General features: G+C 39.5%; 1 protein-coding gene across 13 annotated transcripts in view, besides 3 other annotated features; it reads left to right on the top strand.

Moving 5' to 3' along the window:
- SMYD3 (SET and MYND domain containing 3) overlaps positions 1 to 13,199 on the top strand; it is a 757,933-nt gene that overhangs the window by 331,328 nt on the left and 413,406 nt on the right. The window contains exon 1 of one of the 13 annotated variants that reach the window (XM_024449149.2): positions 6,572 to 13,199. This exon is cut by the window's right edge and continues 27,578 nt beyond it. The exons of the other annotated variants lie outside the window; for them this stretch is intronic. The gene's annotated coding sequence lies outside the window, so the exon portion shown is untranslated. Of the gene's footprint in view, positions 1 to 6,571 lie in introns of those variants that run through there. 13 annotated transcript variants of the gene reach the window in all.
- Positions 4,860 to 4,919: a silencer, noted in NCBI's record as "silent region_2030". NCBI's record gives its function as "represses an Ori minimal core promoter by ATAC-STARR-seq in GM12878 lymphoblastoid cells {active_cell/tissue: GM12878}" and the evidence as "EXISTENCE:reporter gene assay evidence [ECO:0000049][PMID:35858748]".
- Positions 5,059 to 5,232: a transcriptional cis regulatory region, noted in NCBI's record as "TAD4.SE2.HS8 sgRNA1-sgRNA3 range targeted for Mosaic-seq CRISPR perturbation". NCBI's record gives its function as "positively regulates SMYD3 gene expression in K562 erythroleukemia cells {active_cell/tissue: K562}" and the evidence as "EXISTENCE:mutant phenotype evidence [ECO:0000015][PMID:28416141]".
- Positions 6,686 to 6,737: a transcriptional cis regulatory region, noted in NCBI's record as "SMYD3 Non-hub Enh region targeted for CRISPR interference". NCBI's record gives its function as "positively regulates SMYD3 gene expression in K562 erythroleukemia cells {active_cell/tissue: K562}" and the evidence as "EXISTENCE:mutant phenotype evidence [ECO:0000015][PMID:29507293]".

Here is a 13,199-nt window from a genome sequence, read left to right as displayed (position 1 = left end):
GAATGTATTTAAGAAAGGAAACTCCTTCAAGTAAATTATGTATTTTGAAAAAAGTTTTTATTCTGTGTCTGCACAGTATAATATACTTGGAATTCATGGCTACTTTACACATGTTTCATTTACAATGTATTTGAAAGCCCTCCTTAATGAATAATGATAATTAGGTGATTGACATATTCTCCCACTTGACAATCACACATGCCAGTAAATTACCCTCTATTTTCCTGGAGTGTCGGCAATAAATGTTTAAAACTTTCCCCTAGCAAATGTCATTCAGCAAAATCCTAACAGATTAGAAGATACTCTGTTTCCCCAAATTGAGTGAATGACCACCCTGTGAATGGCCCTGTCTTCCTCGATAGTTCACAGACTACTTCCAGATCTGTGATGGAAAGTATAGTTCAAACTTAAGAAGTTAGATTTGAATATTTAAAGTGTTTTAATCCTCAGGTGGTAGAGGGATTTTCAAGTCTGGAGTACTTCTGTACTGTAAAGGTTATGCATAGGAAAAAATAACCTTTTTGTTTAATAAGCAGACAGTTATTACTCCAGATCTCAAAGAACAAAGCATTTATTTTACCTGAATTGTAAACCTCTCCCAGTGGTGCTTTTTGTTTTATCTCCTATCAGTTGGATAATACTAAGTTTATTATAATAAGGTATGTAAAAATCATCTTGAAGCCTGACTCTAATTTTTGGTGCAATATAAAGGGATATTTACCATGTTACAAAATACGATGACACAATATTTTCTACTCAAATACGATTTTGTAAATAAATGAATGTTTGTCTGTATCACCAGTGCGTTTTCTACATAGGGCACAGGCGCAGTTACTCCTTGAGCTATACTTAGTTTTTCCCCCAATAATTTCTGAACTTTGAGGTGTATTGTATAAATGATAAAATGTGTATATTTAAGGATATAATTTGATGATATTTGAGTATAGATAAATGCATATTCATGTAACCCACACTCTCATTAATACCTAAAAGATTTTCATGACCTTAGAAAGTATTGTAATATTTTAGATATTTCTAAAAGCAGCAGAGATTCATCGACTGGTGATCAGAGCAAACGTTATTTCAGTTTATCAGGTGCTTACCAGATGAAAGTGTGAAGAAGAAAGGCAGATATATTATAACTAATAATTAGTAATTGTTGAGACTCCACTCTCCTGGAATAGATCCACTGTTAAGAAACAAATGTAGTCATGCAGCGGTGTGTACCTGTAATTCCAGCATTTTGGGAGGCCAAGGCGGGAGGGTCACCTGAACTCAGGAGTTTGAGACCAGCCTGGCCAACATAGTGAAACCCCATCTCTACTAAAAATACAAAAATTAGTCAGGCGTGGTGGCATGTGCCTGTAGTCCCAGCTACTCAAGAGGCTGAGGTAGGAGAATTTCTTGAGCCTGGGAGGCAGAGGCTGCAGTGGGCTTTAATTGTGCCACTGCACTCCAACCTGGGCGACAGGGCCAGACCTGGTCTTAAAAACAAACAACAAACAAGAAAACCAAACAAATGTTGTCATGGCAGCATAATGATGTTTTGGTTAAGGATGGACTGTGTATACAATGCTGGTCCCATAATATTATAATAGAGCGGGGAACTTTCTACCACCTGTCATAACTCCACAGACAACACATTACTCGTGTTTGTGGTGAACCTGGTATTAAAAACCCTACGGTACTGCCAGTTCTATCAAAGTGTAGCACATGTAATTCTGTGCCATATATAATACTTGATAGTGATAAGAAATGACTGTGTTGCTCGTTTATATATTTACTATATTATACTTTTATCCTTAGAGCACACTCCTTCTACTTATTAAAAAAAATAAAGTTGGCCAGATGCAGTGGCTCATGCCTGTAGTCCCAGCCCTTTGGGAGCCTGAGGTAGAAGGATTGCTTGACATAAGGAGTTTGAGACCAATCTGAGTAGCATAATGAGACCCTGTGTCTGCAAAAATAAAAATAAAAAATAGTCAGGTGTGGTGACACGCACCTGTAGTCCTGGGTACTCAGGAGGCCGAGGTGGGAGGATAGCTTGAGCCCAGGAGTTTGAGGTTTATGTGAGCTATGATCCCGCTACTGCACTTCAGCCAGGGCAGGAAAGCAAGACCCTGTCTCAGAAAAAAAAAGCATTAAAAAATTAACTGTAAACAGCCTCAGGTAGTTCCTTTAGGAGGTATTCCAGAGAAGGCATTGTTATCATAAGAGCTGACAGCTCCATGCCTTTATTGACCCTGAATACTTTCCAGTGAGATCTGATATGGAGGTGGAAGACAGTGCTATTCATGACCCCGACCCTGTGTAGGCATAGACTAATGTGTGTGTTTGTGTCGTCGTTTTTAACAAAAAGTTTAAAAAGTAAAAAAAATTTAAAAATAGTTCAAAGCTTATAGAATAAGGTTATAAAAAAGGAAATGTTTTCATACAGCTGAACAATGTGTTAGTGTTTTAAGGTAAGTATTATTACAAGAGTCAAAAGGTTAAAAAAAGTTTATAAAGTAAAAAGTTACAGTAAGCTAAGCTTAATTTATTACTGAAGAAAGAAAAAGATTTTTAATAAATGTAGTGTAGCCTAAGTGTACAGCGTTGATAAAGTCTAGAGTAGAATACAGTGAGTGTTCTAGGCCTGTGTAGCCTAAGTGTGTAGTGTTGATAAAGTCTACAGTAGAGTACAGTGAGTGTTCTAGGCCGGTGTAGCCTAAGTGTGTAGTGTTGATGAAGTCTACAGTAGAGTACAGTGAGTGTTCTAGGCCTGTGTAGCCTAAGCGTACAGTGTGGATAGTCTGCAGTAGAGAACAGTGAGTGTTCTAGGCCTGTGTAGCCTAAGTGTGTAGTGTTGATAAAGTCTACAGTAGAGTACAGTGAGTGTTCTAGGCCTGTGTAGCCTAAGTGTGCGGTGTTGATAAAGTCTACAGTAGAGTACAGTGAGTGTTCTAGGCCTGTGTAGCCTAAGCGTACAGTGTTGATAAAGTCTACAGTAGAGTACAGTGAGTGTTCTAGGCCTGTGTAGCATAAGTGTGTAGTGTTGATAAAGTCTACAGTACAGTACAGTGAGTGTTCTAGGCCTGTGTAGCCTAAGTGTGTAGTGTTGATAAAGTCTACAGTAGAGTACAGTGAGTGTTCTAGGCCTGTGTAGCCTAAGTGTACAGTGTTGATAAAGTCTACAGTAGAGTACAGTGAGTGTTCTAGGCCTGTGTAGCCTAAGCGTACAGTGTGGATAGTCTGCAGTAGAGAACAGTGAGTGTTCTAGGCCTGTGTAGCCTAAGTGTGTAGTGTTGATAAAGTCTACAGTAGAGTACAGTGAGTGTTCTAGGCCTGTGTAGCCTAAGTGTGTAGTGTTGATAAAGTCTACAGTAGAGTACAGTGAGTGTTCTAGGCCTGTGTAGCCTAAGTGTGCAGTGTTGATAAAGTCTACAGTAGAGAACAGTGAGTGTTCTAGGCCTGTGTAGCCTAAGCATACAGTGTGGATAGTCTGCAGTAGAGAACAGTGAGTGTTCTAGGCCTGTGTAGCCTAAGTGTGTAGTGTTGATAAAGTCTACAGTACAGTGAGTGTTCTAGGCCTGTGTAGCCTAAGTGTGCAGTGTTGATAAAGTCTACAGTAGAGTACAGTGAGTGTTCTAGGCCTGTGTAGCCTAAGCGTACAGTGTGGATAGTCTGCAGTAGAGAACAGTGAGTGTTCTAGGCCTGTGTAGCCTAAGTGTGTGGTGTTGATAAAGTCTACAGTAGAGAACAGTGAGTGTTCTAGGCCTGTGTAGCCTAAGCGTGCAGTGTGGATAGTCTACAGTAGAGTACAGTGAGTGTTCTAGGCCTTCACATTCACCTGCCACTCGCTCATTCACGGAGAGCAACTTGTAGTCCTGCAAGCTCCATTCATGGTCAGTGCTCTACATAGGTATACCATTTTTATCTTTCATAACTTTCTTTTCCTTCATGAGATAAAGTCATAGTCTGTCACCCAGGATGGAATGCAGTGATGTGATCTTGGCTCACTGTAGCCTCGAACTCCTGGGCTCAAGCAATTCTCTTGCCTCAGCCTGCTGAGTAGCTATGATTACAGATGTTTGCCAACATGCTGGGTTAATTTTTTAAGTTTTTCTAGAGTTGAGGTCTTGCTATGTTGCCCAGTCTGGTCTCAAACTCCCGGCCTCAAGCAATTCCCCCACCTTGGCCTCCCAAAGCATTGGAATCATAGGCATGAGCCACCATGCCCAACCTTATACTGTATTTTTATTGTACCTCTTCTATGTTTAGATAAGTGTAGATACATAAATACCTACCATTGTATTACAACTGCCTATAGTATTCAGTACAAGAACATACTGTACAGGTTTGTAGCCTAGGAGCAATAGGCAATATCATGTAGCCCAGGTGTGTAGTAGACTGTCTCATCTAGGTTTGCGTTAGTGTGTCTATGATGTTGACACAAGGACAAAATCACCTAACAATGAATTTCTTGGCAGGTGTCTCTGTTAAGAAGACATGACTCCAGTACTCTCAGGTGTAAGCTCTTTTCCAGTGATGACACCGGCACTCCCTACCCCCATCCCTCTGGAAAAAGAATGATCTAAAATGTTATGATTTAAAGCAAAAGGATATGCAAAGGTGAATCAGAGAAATTCAAAGAAAGGAGGGATTATATTAATGTCATATAAAAATAATTTAAGATAAAAAACAATTGATAGGATAAACTTGATATCTTTTATAAAAGAAATATACCTTTTTTTCAGTTATCTTTGAAACGTTTACCAAAATCAATTCTTGATTGTACACAGACAGCATTGGTTCTACCTCACCCAATGCGTGGGAGCACAGAAACTCTATTAGACCAAAGTAGAAATCAAAACCACTTAGAAAACTAGAATAGAGAACCATAACATGTACTGAAAGAAACAAAGTATACTCAGAAATTGATAATCTGAAAGTAGTAATTTGTAGACTATGAAACCATAGAAAATAATCTTCTGGTTTAAAAAAAATTAGAGGGTTGTTTGAAAAATAACATGAATTTTGCATATAAAAAAACTGAAAGGTTTTGCAAAATACAGTATTTAGCGGTCACAAACAGTGCAGGAAAATAAGAAGTCTACGAGCTTTAAGAAATGTAGAAGATTACTTGGAAAGACATAGTATGTTTGTAGATGATAAGACTGAGCATTATAACGTGTCAGTCTTTCTCGACTACGTTTCTTGAAAGCAGTTTTCCAGGTAATTTTTTAGTGTTCATTTGGAAGAATGAAAGGTAAATAGTGAAATGCCATTTGACAAAAATGAACAAGAAATGTTAATGCCCAAATCTTAGGGAGAGTTTAAGACAGGCAGTCTTGTATTACTACCGTTTTTGTGTAAATTGATTTATATTTTGAGACAAGCAAATTTAGAAATATTTATCGAGTCAAAAATTACTCATAGTAGAATTCCTAAGTAGGCCAATAAAAAAAGAAAAATTAAAATTAAGAAAAAATTATTCATAGCAATCCTTGTTTGGTGAAAGCAGTAATTATACTTTTTTTTAATAGCAAAAAAAAAAAAAAGTAATGAGTGTGGGAGTGGTTAAATGAATTATAAATAAATGTAAAGGGAAGCTACATGCAACCATGAGGCATATTTAGTAATATGGAAACTAACCATGCTGCAGTATTAGTTGGATTATATTTCATACATAATATATATCACACTATTCTGATATTTTTAATTGAGCATATTTCTAGGAGGGGGAGAAAATCATTGTGTTAAATTCTTCATTTTAGGTTAATGAAAAATATATTATTTAATTATTGTTTTTGATAGTGAGGAAATAACACCCAAATTATTTTTTCTTAAGTTGTACTATGTCACATTCTCTTTTTTCCTTATTCTGTGTTTTCTGTATTTTCTATAATGATCAAAAACCAAGAACGATGCAGACTCAGAATTAAACTGTAACACATTCTAGTTTTGTTATCAAAACTTGAAAATCAAAAATATTTCCATAATCTGTGAAAAATGAGTTTATAGGTACATTTTAGACTGAAGATTTCTTGCTGTATCTTTTTTTTTTTTTTGGCAGAGTCTTGCTCTGTTGCCTAGGCTGGAGTGCAGTGGCACAATCTTGGCTCTCTGCAACCTTCACCTCCTGGGTTCAAGCGATTCTCCTGCCTCAGCTTCTCGGGTAGCTGGGGTTATAGGCTTGTGCCACAATGCCCTGCTAATTTTTGTAGTTTTAGTAGACATGGGGTTTCACCGTGTTGGCCAGGCTGGTCTCAAACTCCTGACCTAAGGTGATCCGCCTGCCTTGGCCGAATGCTGGGATTACAGGCCCGAGCCACCGCACCCGGCCTTGCTGTATCTTTAGAGCTGGAACTCAAACTTGAGACTCCCAGTGCTATCCATTGTTATTCTGCCTGGAAGTATCTTTTTTCACCTGTGATCTGGGACAAGCAAGAGCATTTGTCCCAAGAAGAGCAAACAGGACTTCTGTTTGCTACTCCAGGAACATTATTTTGTTTCTTAGATAGTCCAGCTTTTTAAGCTTTGCCCTTTTCACATATATTGTTAGAGGTTTTTTTTTTTTTTTTTTTTTTTGAAAGAAAGTCTTTTGCCCTGTAACTGACTTTGACCAATTTTCCTTCTCTATATTTGTTAAATTAACTTTGGCGTTTTTCATCTTGGCTTACTAATTTCTGACTACCTCTTCCATCCTATCTATTCGTTGCAGTGTGGAAGATAAACGTGAGCTTACCCGTGACTCCTGGGCCTTGGCATCTGTCTTTTGCAGACTGCCTGGATTGCTATCCAATGTATTAGTCTGTCAAGGTTTAAATTTGGTGTAGGTGGGAGGGATGTAGGGACGGACACACAAGCTTTTAGAAAAGCCAGGCTCTCTAAGGAATTCAAGTGAAGCAGAGACTTCTTTTCATATTAAAGCAATGTAAAATGACAGAAAGAATTATAGGTATAAAATTGTGTATTACAAATGGGAAATTTAATTGGACCAGAGTACATAGCAGGTGATATTGAACCCCCTACCCTGAAAGAGCCTTTGTTTTTCAAGTATGGGATAGAACTGGAACACAGGGGCCTTTGTACATGGACACTGTATAGGCATCATTTGTTTTACTAAACACTCCTTTCTAAAGACGGCAAAAGCATATTGGCAGCAAGGTAGACTTGTCAGAACAATATACATGACTTTTAGACCCAAGCAGGTGGACTGCTTGACATGATTCCTCCGGGTGCAACGAATTTTTGTGTGTGGGCAGAAAGGAATGAGTCTTAATACTTCTCAGCAATATACTGTGGTTTATTTTCCTCTCACAAAGAAAAAGAATCATTTCAAAGAAATAACAATTATAAAGTACAGCAGCTTGTAAACGTTCTCCATTCTTTTTAATTCCCAGGAATGTGTGATGGGGCAGGAGATTTGGTCCCTGTGGAGTGTCTGTATAGCCAAAGGTTCTTCACAGATTTTGGTTCTGCCTCCTTTGCAAAAGTAGAAGAATGCCTTTCCTATGTTGTTAAAAAGATATTTAAAAATTAATATTTTGCACAGTGCTTTTCATTATGGGGCCATTTTTGTCTTAACATGGAGGCAAAAAACCTGTGACTTCCTCCCTGAAGTTCCTTCTACCCTTACATGGCTGAATCTGGGAGAGGTTCGTGCATTTTTCCCATCCTTATGGAAGTACACAAGTAATTACATGAACGTGCTACCTGTGCATACTTTTATTGGCTTTTGAAACATTTTATAGCTTTTCTATGTGTCACATGCCATGATATGTATATTACATTGATTATTTAATATTTACTACATATCCACGAGGTTTACTCTTAAGATATTTTGGCTCAGAGAGATAATTTTGTCAAGGTCTCATAGTGACTAAGTTGCAGGACAGACCCAAGCAGTCTGGTTTCATAGCACAGCTTCCTAACCACCGCACTGTTTTGCGTTTTGTCTGTTTAAAGGAGTATGCATAGAGAAGAATATTGGAGTACCTTGCTTAAAAATGACCAAAGGACAGATAACCCTAAATATAAAAGAGCAAAGGAGTTGAATAGACCTTTCTCCAAAGAAGATATACAAATGGCCGACAAGCACGTGAAAAGATGCTCCTCATCATCAGTTATTAAGGAAATGCAAATCAAAACCACAATGAGGCTGGGCGTGGTGGCTCACGCCTGTAATCCCAGCACTTTGGGAGGCCAAGGTGGGAAGATCACCTGAGGTCAGGAGTTTGAGACCAGCCTGGCCAACGTGGAGAAACCCTGTCTCTCCTAAAAATACAAAAATTAGCCAGGCCTGGTGGGGTGTGCCTATAATCCCAGCTACTCGGGAGGTCGAGGCAGGAGAATCGCTTGAACCCGGGAGGCAGAGGTTGCCGTGAGCTGAGATCATGCCACTGCACTCCAGCCTGGGCCACAGAGCGAGACTCCGTCTTCAAAAAAAAAAAAAAAGAAAAAAAAACCGTAATGAGGTGCCACTTCACATTTACTATTAAATGTAATAGAATGAAATGTAGTAGGATGGCCGTGATCAGTAAAATGGAAAATAGTAAGGATGTGAAGAAACTGGAACCCTGTACATTGCTGATAGGAATGTACAGTGTGGTAGCCACTGTGGAATCCACTTCCTTAAAAAGTTGATGTATGACCCAGGAATTCCACTGCCATATACACACACAAAAGAATGGAAAACTGATACTTAATTTCACATACATATATTATAAATAGTATTAGTATTTACAATAGTGAAAAGGTAGCAACAGCCAAAATGCTCGTTGTTAGTTGAATGAATACACCAATTGTGATCTATCCATACAATCGAGTATCATTCAGCCATCAAATGAATGAAGTACCCATACATGCTCCAGCACGGGTGAACCCGGAATACATTATGCTTAATGAAGGGAGCCAGACACAAGACGCCACATGCTCTGTGATTCCGTTTGTATGAAATGTTCAAAGTAGATGAATCCATAGAGACGGAGTGCAGATTGATGGTCGCTAGGGCTTGTGGGAAGGGGCACCCGAGAGCAGCTGCCTTCAGTGGGTATCGAGTTTTCCTCTGTAGTGATACAAATGTTTTGGAGCTGGATAGGTTGGTGGTCGTTTATCATTGTGAATGCACTCAATGTTACTGAATTGTTCTTAAAATAGTTAATTTTATGTTTCACCTCAAGAAAAAACAATAATGACTAAGTTATCCCGCGGCCCCTAGCTCTCAGGTATTACAGTCAGTTGCAGCTTTTATGGAGCACATATTTGCATGTTATTGGGCCAATAGCAAGTTAAACAAACACTGTGATAGGCAAACATTATCTTGAGCACTTTACATGTGTGGACAAGCACAATGACTGACGTGGTTCCCAGACTCCAGCCGAGACTCCAGGAACCAACAGCCTTTAAGAATTAACAGGGGAACAGACAAAATATGAAGGCTGTATGTTGATTTAGCAGACACTCAGCAAATAAAGGGCTTACATTTTGGTGACGCCAACAGCTAAAATGCTTTTTCACACAGTGAGTAGGGTGTTACCAGACTTACATGTGTGCTCAGGCAGCATGATCTTATCCTCCTCCTAATCAGGGTAGGTTTCAGTCATGCATGCTGGAGCAAATGATTCCGGTGAGAGAATCTGAAAGAACCCTATACAAACATGTACCTTTTTTTCTTTAGGACTGTGAAGGGAACGTGGCAGTGTGTGGCCTGGTGCAGCCTGTGCCCAGAGGGTTTTTCACGTTCAGTATAGACCTTTGATGTTCTCAGGTTATTTTCCAAGTTGCCCAGAAGCATGACACATACACTGCACTAAATCCTTGAGGAGTTGCAAGAAAACAGATAGTGCTTTTCTTCTTCTTTTTTTTTTAAAAAAGGGAGGGGAACCTAGTCCACAGTGCAGCAAAGCAGTTTGTCTGGTGTAGGTAATGGGGGTGTGGGTCACCGAGGATGACCCTTGTTGACCTACATTCCTGATCTCTCCCATTCAGATGTGCACATGTAGATCCATTTACTTCTAGACAGCCCTCTTAGGTTACTGAAATTATTGATTCAGCATTGTCTGCATTGCCAGGGCCTCCTCTCACCCTAATGTAGAGTGGGAAGTGGACATTTTTACTTAAAAATGTGTGAATTTTTCTTACCCAAATATTACTTTATTGTCTCATTGTAAAAATTTCATATATCTATATAACAGATATATATATCTGTAAGTAACTTTAATAATCAGACAAGCCACCTTCTCCACTCCCCGACCTTTATTCACTTTTACCATTTGCATCTAAGCTCACCTTAAAAACCTGTGACTGGTACATGGTGGCCTCTTCAGCTGCACACAATCTTGCCTGGGAGTTTTCCTGGCCTGAGGCTATAAGGTGGAAGATTGTTTCGACGACTTTTAACCCTTCACCTCTCCTCACCCCTGAAAGCATCAGCAAACCTCCCTCTTTCTGTCCCGAAATCCCCAAAGGCAAGGATGTCTTTTCCTGTTTTCTAGAGCTCACTCTTTTATTATTTGATGGACCTCACTCTACTAGTTATCTAGTCTCAATTATTTTCACCTTTTTTAGCCTTTAAATGTGCCTGTCTTCCTCTTAGGAAGGAAGAAAGCGAGGGAGGGGAAAAAAAGAAGTAATGCCTTTGCTCCACCTCTTCCTCTACTTATCTTTGAATCATCTCTCCTTTCACAATTACAACTGAAATTATTTACATTTTTAGTCTTCACTTTCTTACTTCTTGTCACCTCCGCTGTAGTCTGGCGTTCAGGTCCTTAACTCAATTGAAACTGCTGTAGTTGCGATGAGCAGCAATCTCCATGTTGCTCAATCCTCCGGATACTCTAACTTCATGTGTCCTGTGGACCGCTCCCTTTCGGGAACGCTTTTCCCTGGGCTTCGGTGACACCATACTCTCCTAGTTTTCTTCCTGCACTACTGTCTTCCCAGTCGGTGGGGTTCTTTCGCCACCTTGTTTGTTCTCTGCACACTGTCTGTGGGTTACCTTACTGATTCCTGTAGCTTCATTCACCGTCTCTGTGTGGCTGACTCCCAAAGTTAGCTTGTGTTTTAGTTACCTTTGTATACTTCCAGCAGCCAACATGGGACCTGTTGCACAACAGTAGCCTATGTTAAGTAAATGAACGGACTGATAAATAGATGTTTTCCATGATTGATACTCTTCCCAAAATCTTTCATTATTACCATTTGTCACCCATCACAAGAACATAAACTCCATGAGAGCAGAGACGTTATCAGTCTTGTTCAGGACTGTGTGCCTGGCACGTGGCACACGTATCCAGTATGAGCAAAAAACAAGTGGCTCACCCAAAATGATCCTGGCACCAGGAAGTTTCTCTTTGGGCCTGGCTTCCTTGGTTACTCACATGCCCCCGTCCATGTGTTGTAGGAAGAGGAAAGATGTAAGCATTAAGGATTTGGCTCACTGGGGCTGGTCCTGGTGGTTTGGAAATAGCAGATCTCTAAGGCATTCCATCACCTCATGAGAGAAGTCTTATTTATTTATTTATTTATCTATTTATTTATTTATTTCTTGAGACGGAGTCTCGCTCTGTCGCCCAGGCTGGAGTGCAGTGGCATGATCGCAGCTCACTGCAACCTCCGCCTCCCGGGTTCAAGTGATTCTCCTGCCTCAGCCTCCTGAGTAGCTGGGACAGGCACCCGCCACCACGCCCAGCTAATTTTTTTGTATTTTTAGTAGAGACAGGGTTTCACCATATTGGCCAGTCTGGTCTGGAACTCCTGACCTCAGGCAATCTGCCTGCCTTGGCCTCCCAAGAAGCCTTATTTTTATATAGCTCGTTTTCTCTCACCTGGGATCCCAGGTCAACCCCTTTTCAAGTTGGGAGAAACCAGCTAAACATTTTGTGTTTTAATTTAAATTTTGTGGTCTGAGTTGACTCTTGCTAGGGTGGGGGTAGAGGAGGAAACCCAGCAGAGAACTTGAACTAAGTCAAAATGGCACCTTCCCTCCTGAATATTCCTTTTATTAAGATGTCTGCAGATCTCCGAGCATTAGGTCTTCCATTCTTGGAGATTCTGACTTTCCTCTGTCATTATTTCTCTGCGGAAGGTTCTAACATTTGGCCAGTTGTGATTTCTCTGAGCCCTTTGCAACACTGCAGGGAGCACACTCAGTTGTATGCAGTGGGGCTGATAGCATCCAGGTCTCAGAAGCACTTTCCTTCCATATCATTGCCGATTTCCTGTTTCTTTTTTAATTGCACTTGTTCCTTTTATAAAGTGACAGTAGCTAAATTTATTTCTCAAGATGCTTACATGCTCTTTTAAAGAGTATCTAAATTAATAAACATTGAGTACAGAAACCTAATCTGAATTTGTGTTTTTATTGAGAGCACTCTCATTAAACACAGGCTGGAAAAAAAAAGAATCAACCAGACCCTGATGCCTCTTGCAAAATCTGATCTGTTCCAAGTCTAGCAGGTAGAGTCCTGATTGCCTTTATTTGCAAGTTCAGAAGAATGCAGGTAGGTGAAGATTAGAATGGCCTCGTAGTGAATATGTATAAGCCTATAAAATTAAAGTAGAACTTGGTTAAAGAGCAATACAATCTCTTGCTATTTCATGAATGCTTAGCAGTGTTATAAAGACGTGAACATATTGCTGTGTTTCAGTGAGCTACAGCCTTACCCTTTGATATGCTTAATTATTTTCAAGGTCATTTCTTTTTATAAAATCAAGGCAAGCTGGAAAATGTCAAACAGCCTACAAGTATAGAATAAACTATTTTCATTGTCATTTTATAGTCATATATAGTTGTGGTTTTGAGTTTCCCAGTTACAACCAGTCACTGAGTGTAAGAGTCACAATAAATTCTCTTAGGAACATGGTATCCTTTATCTCTTCAACCATTAATGTTCCAAGGATATTTTCAAATGAAAGAATGATAAAAATTAGTTGATGCGTTCTGGGAATATGCACATTTAAAATTTCAAGTTAACAATACAGATGAAGGTGGTTAAATGTGCAAGAGCTAGCTACAATAAGAGAAATGTAGTTGAGGCTACTGCTGAAGGGATTATGTACTTAGCCTCTAAGCCACTTAGGATATATATTAAGTTGGTTGTGCTCTACCATTTTGGCTGAAGATAATTTTCCCTTACATAAAGCAAATATTTAGTAACAAGTGAGGTAAGTCTGAGTTGTTCATTATGCAGGTTATATGGTACGGTTGAAATCCT

This window comes from Homo sapiens, chromosome 1, assembly GCF_000001405.40.
Source record: "Homo sapiens chromosome 1, GRCh38.p14 Primary Assembly".
Classification (NCBI taxonomy): Eukaryota; Metazoa; Chordata; class Mammalia; order Primates; family Hominidae; genus Homo; species Homo sapiens.
Note: the sequence above shows the minus strand (reverse complement) of the source record. Positions and strands in the feature narration are given on the sequence as shown.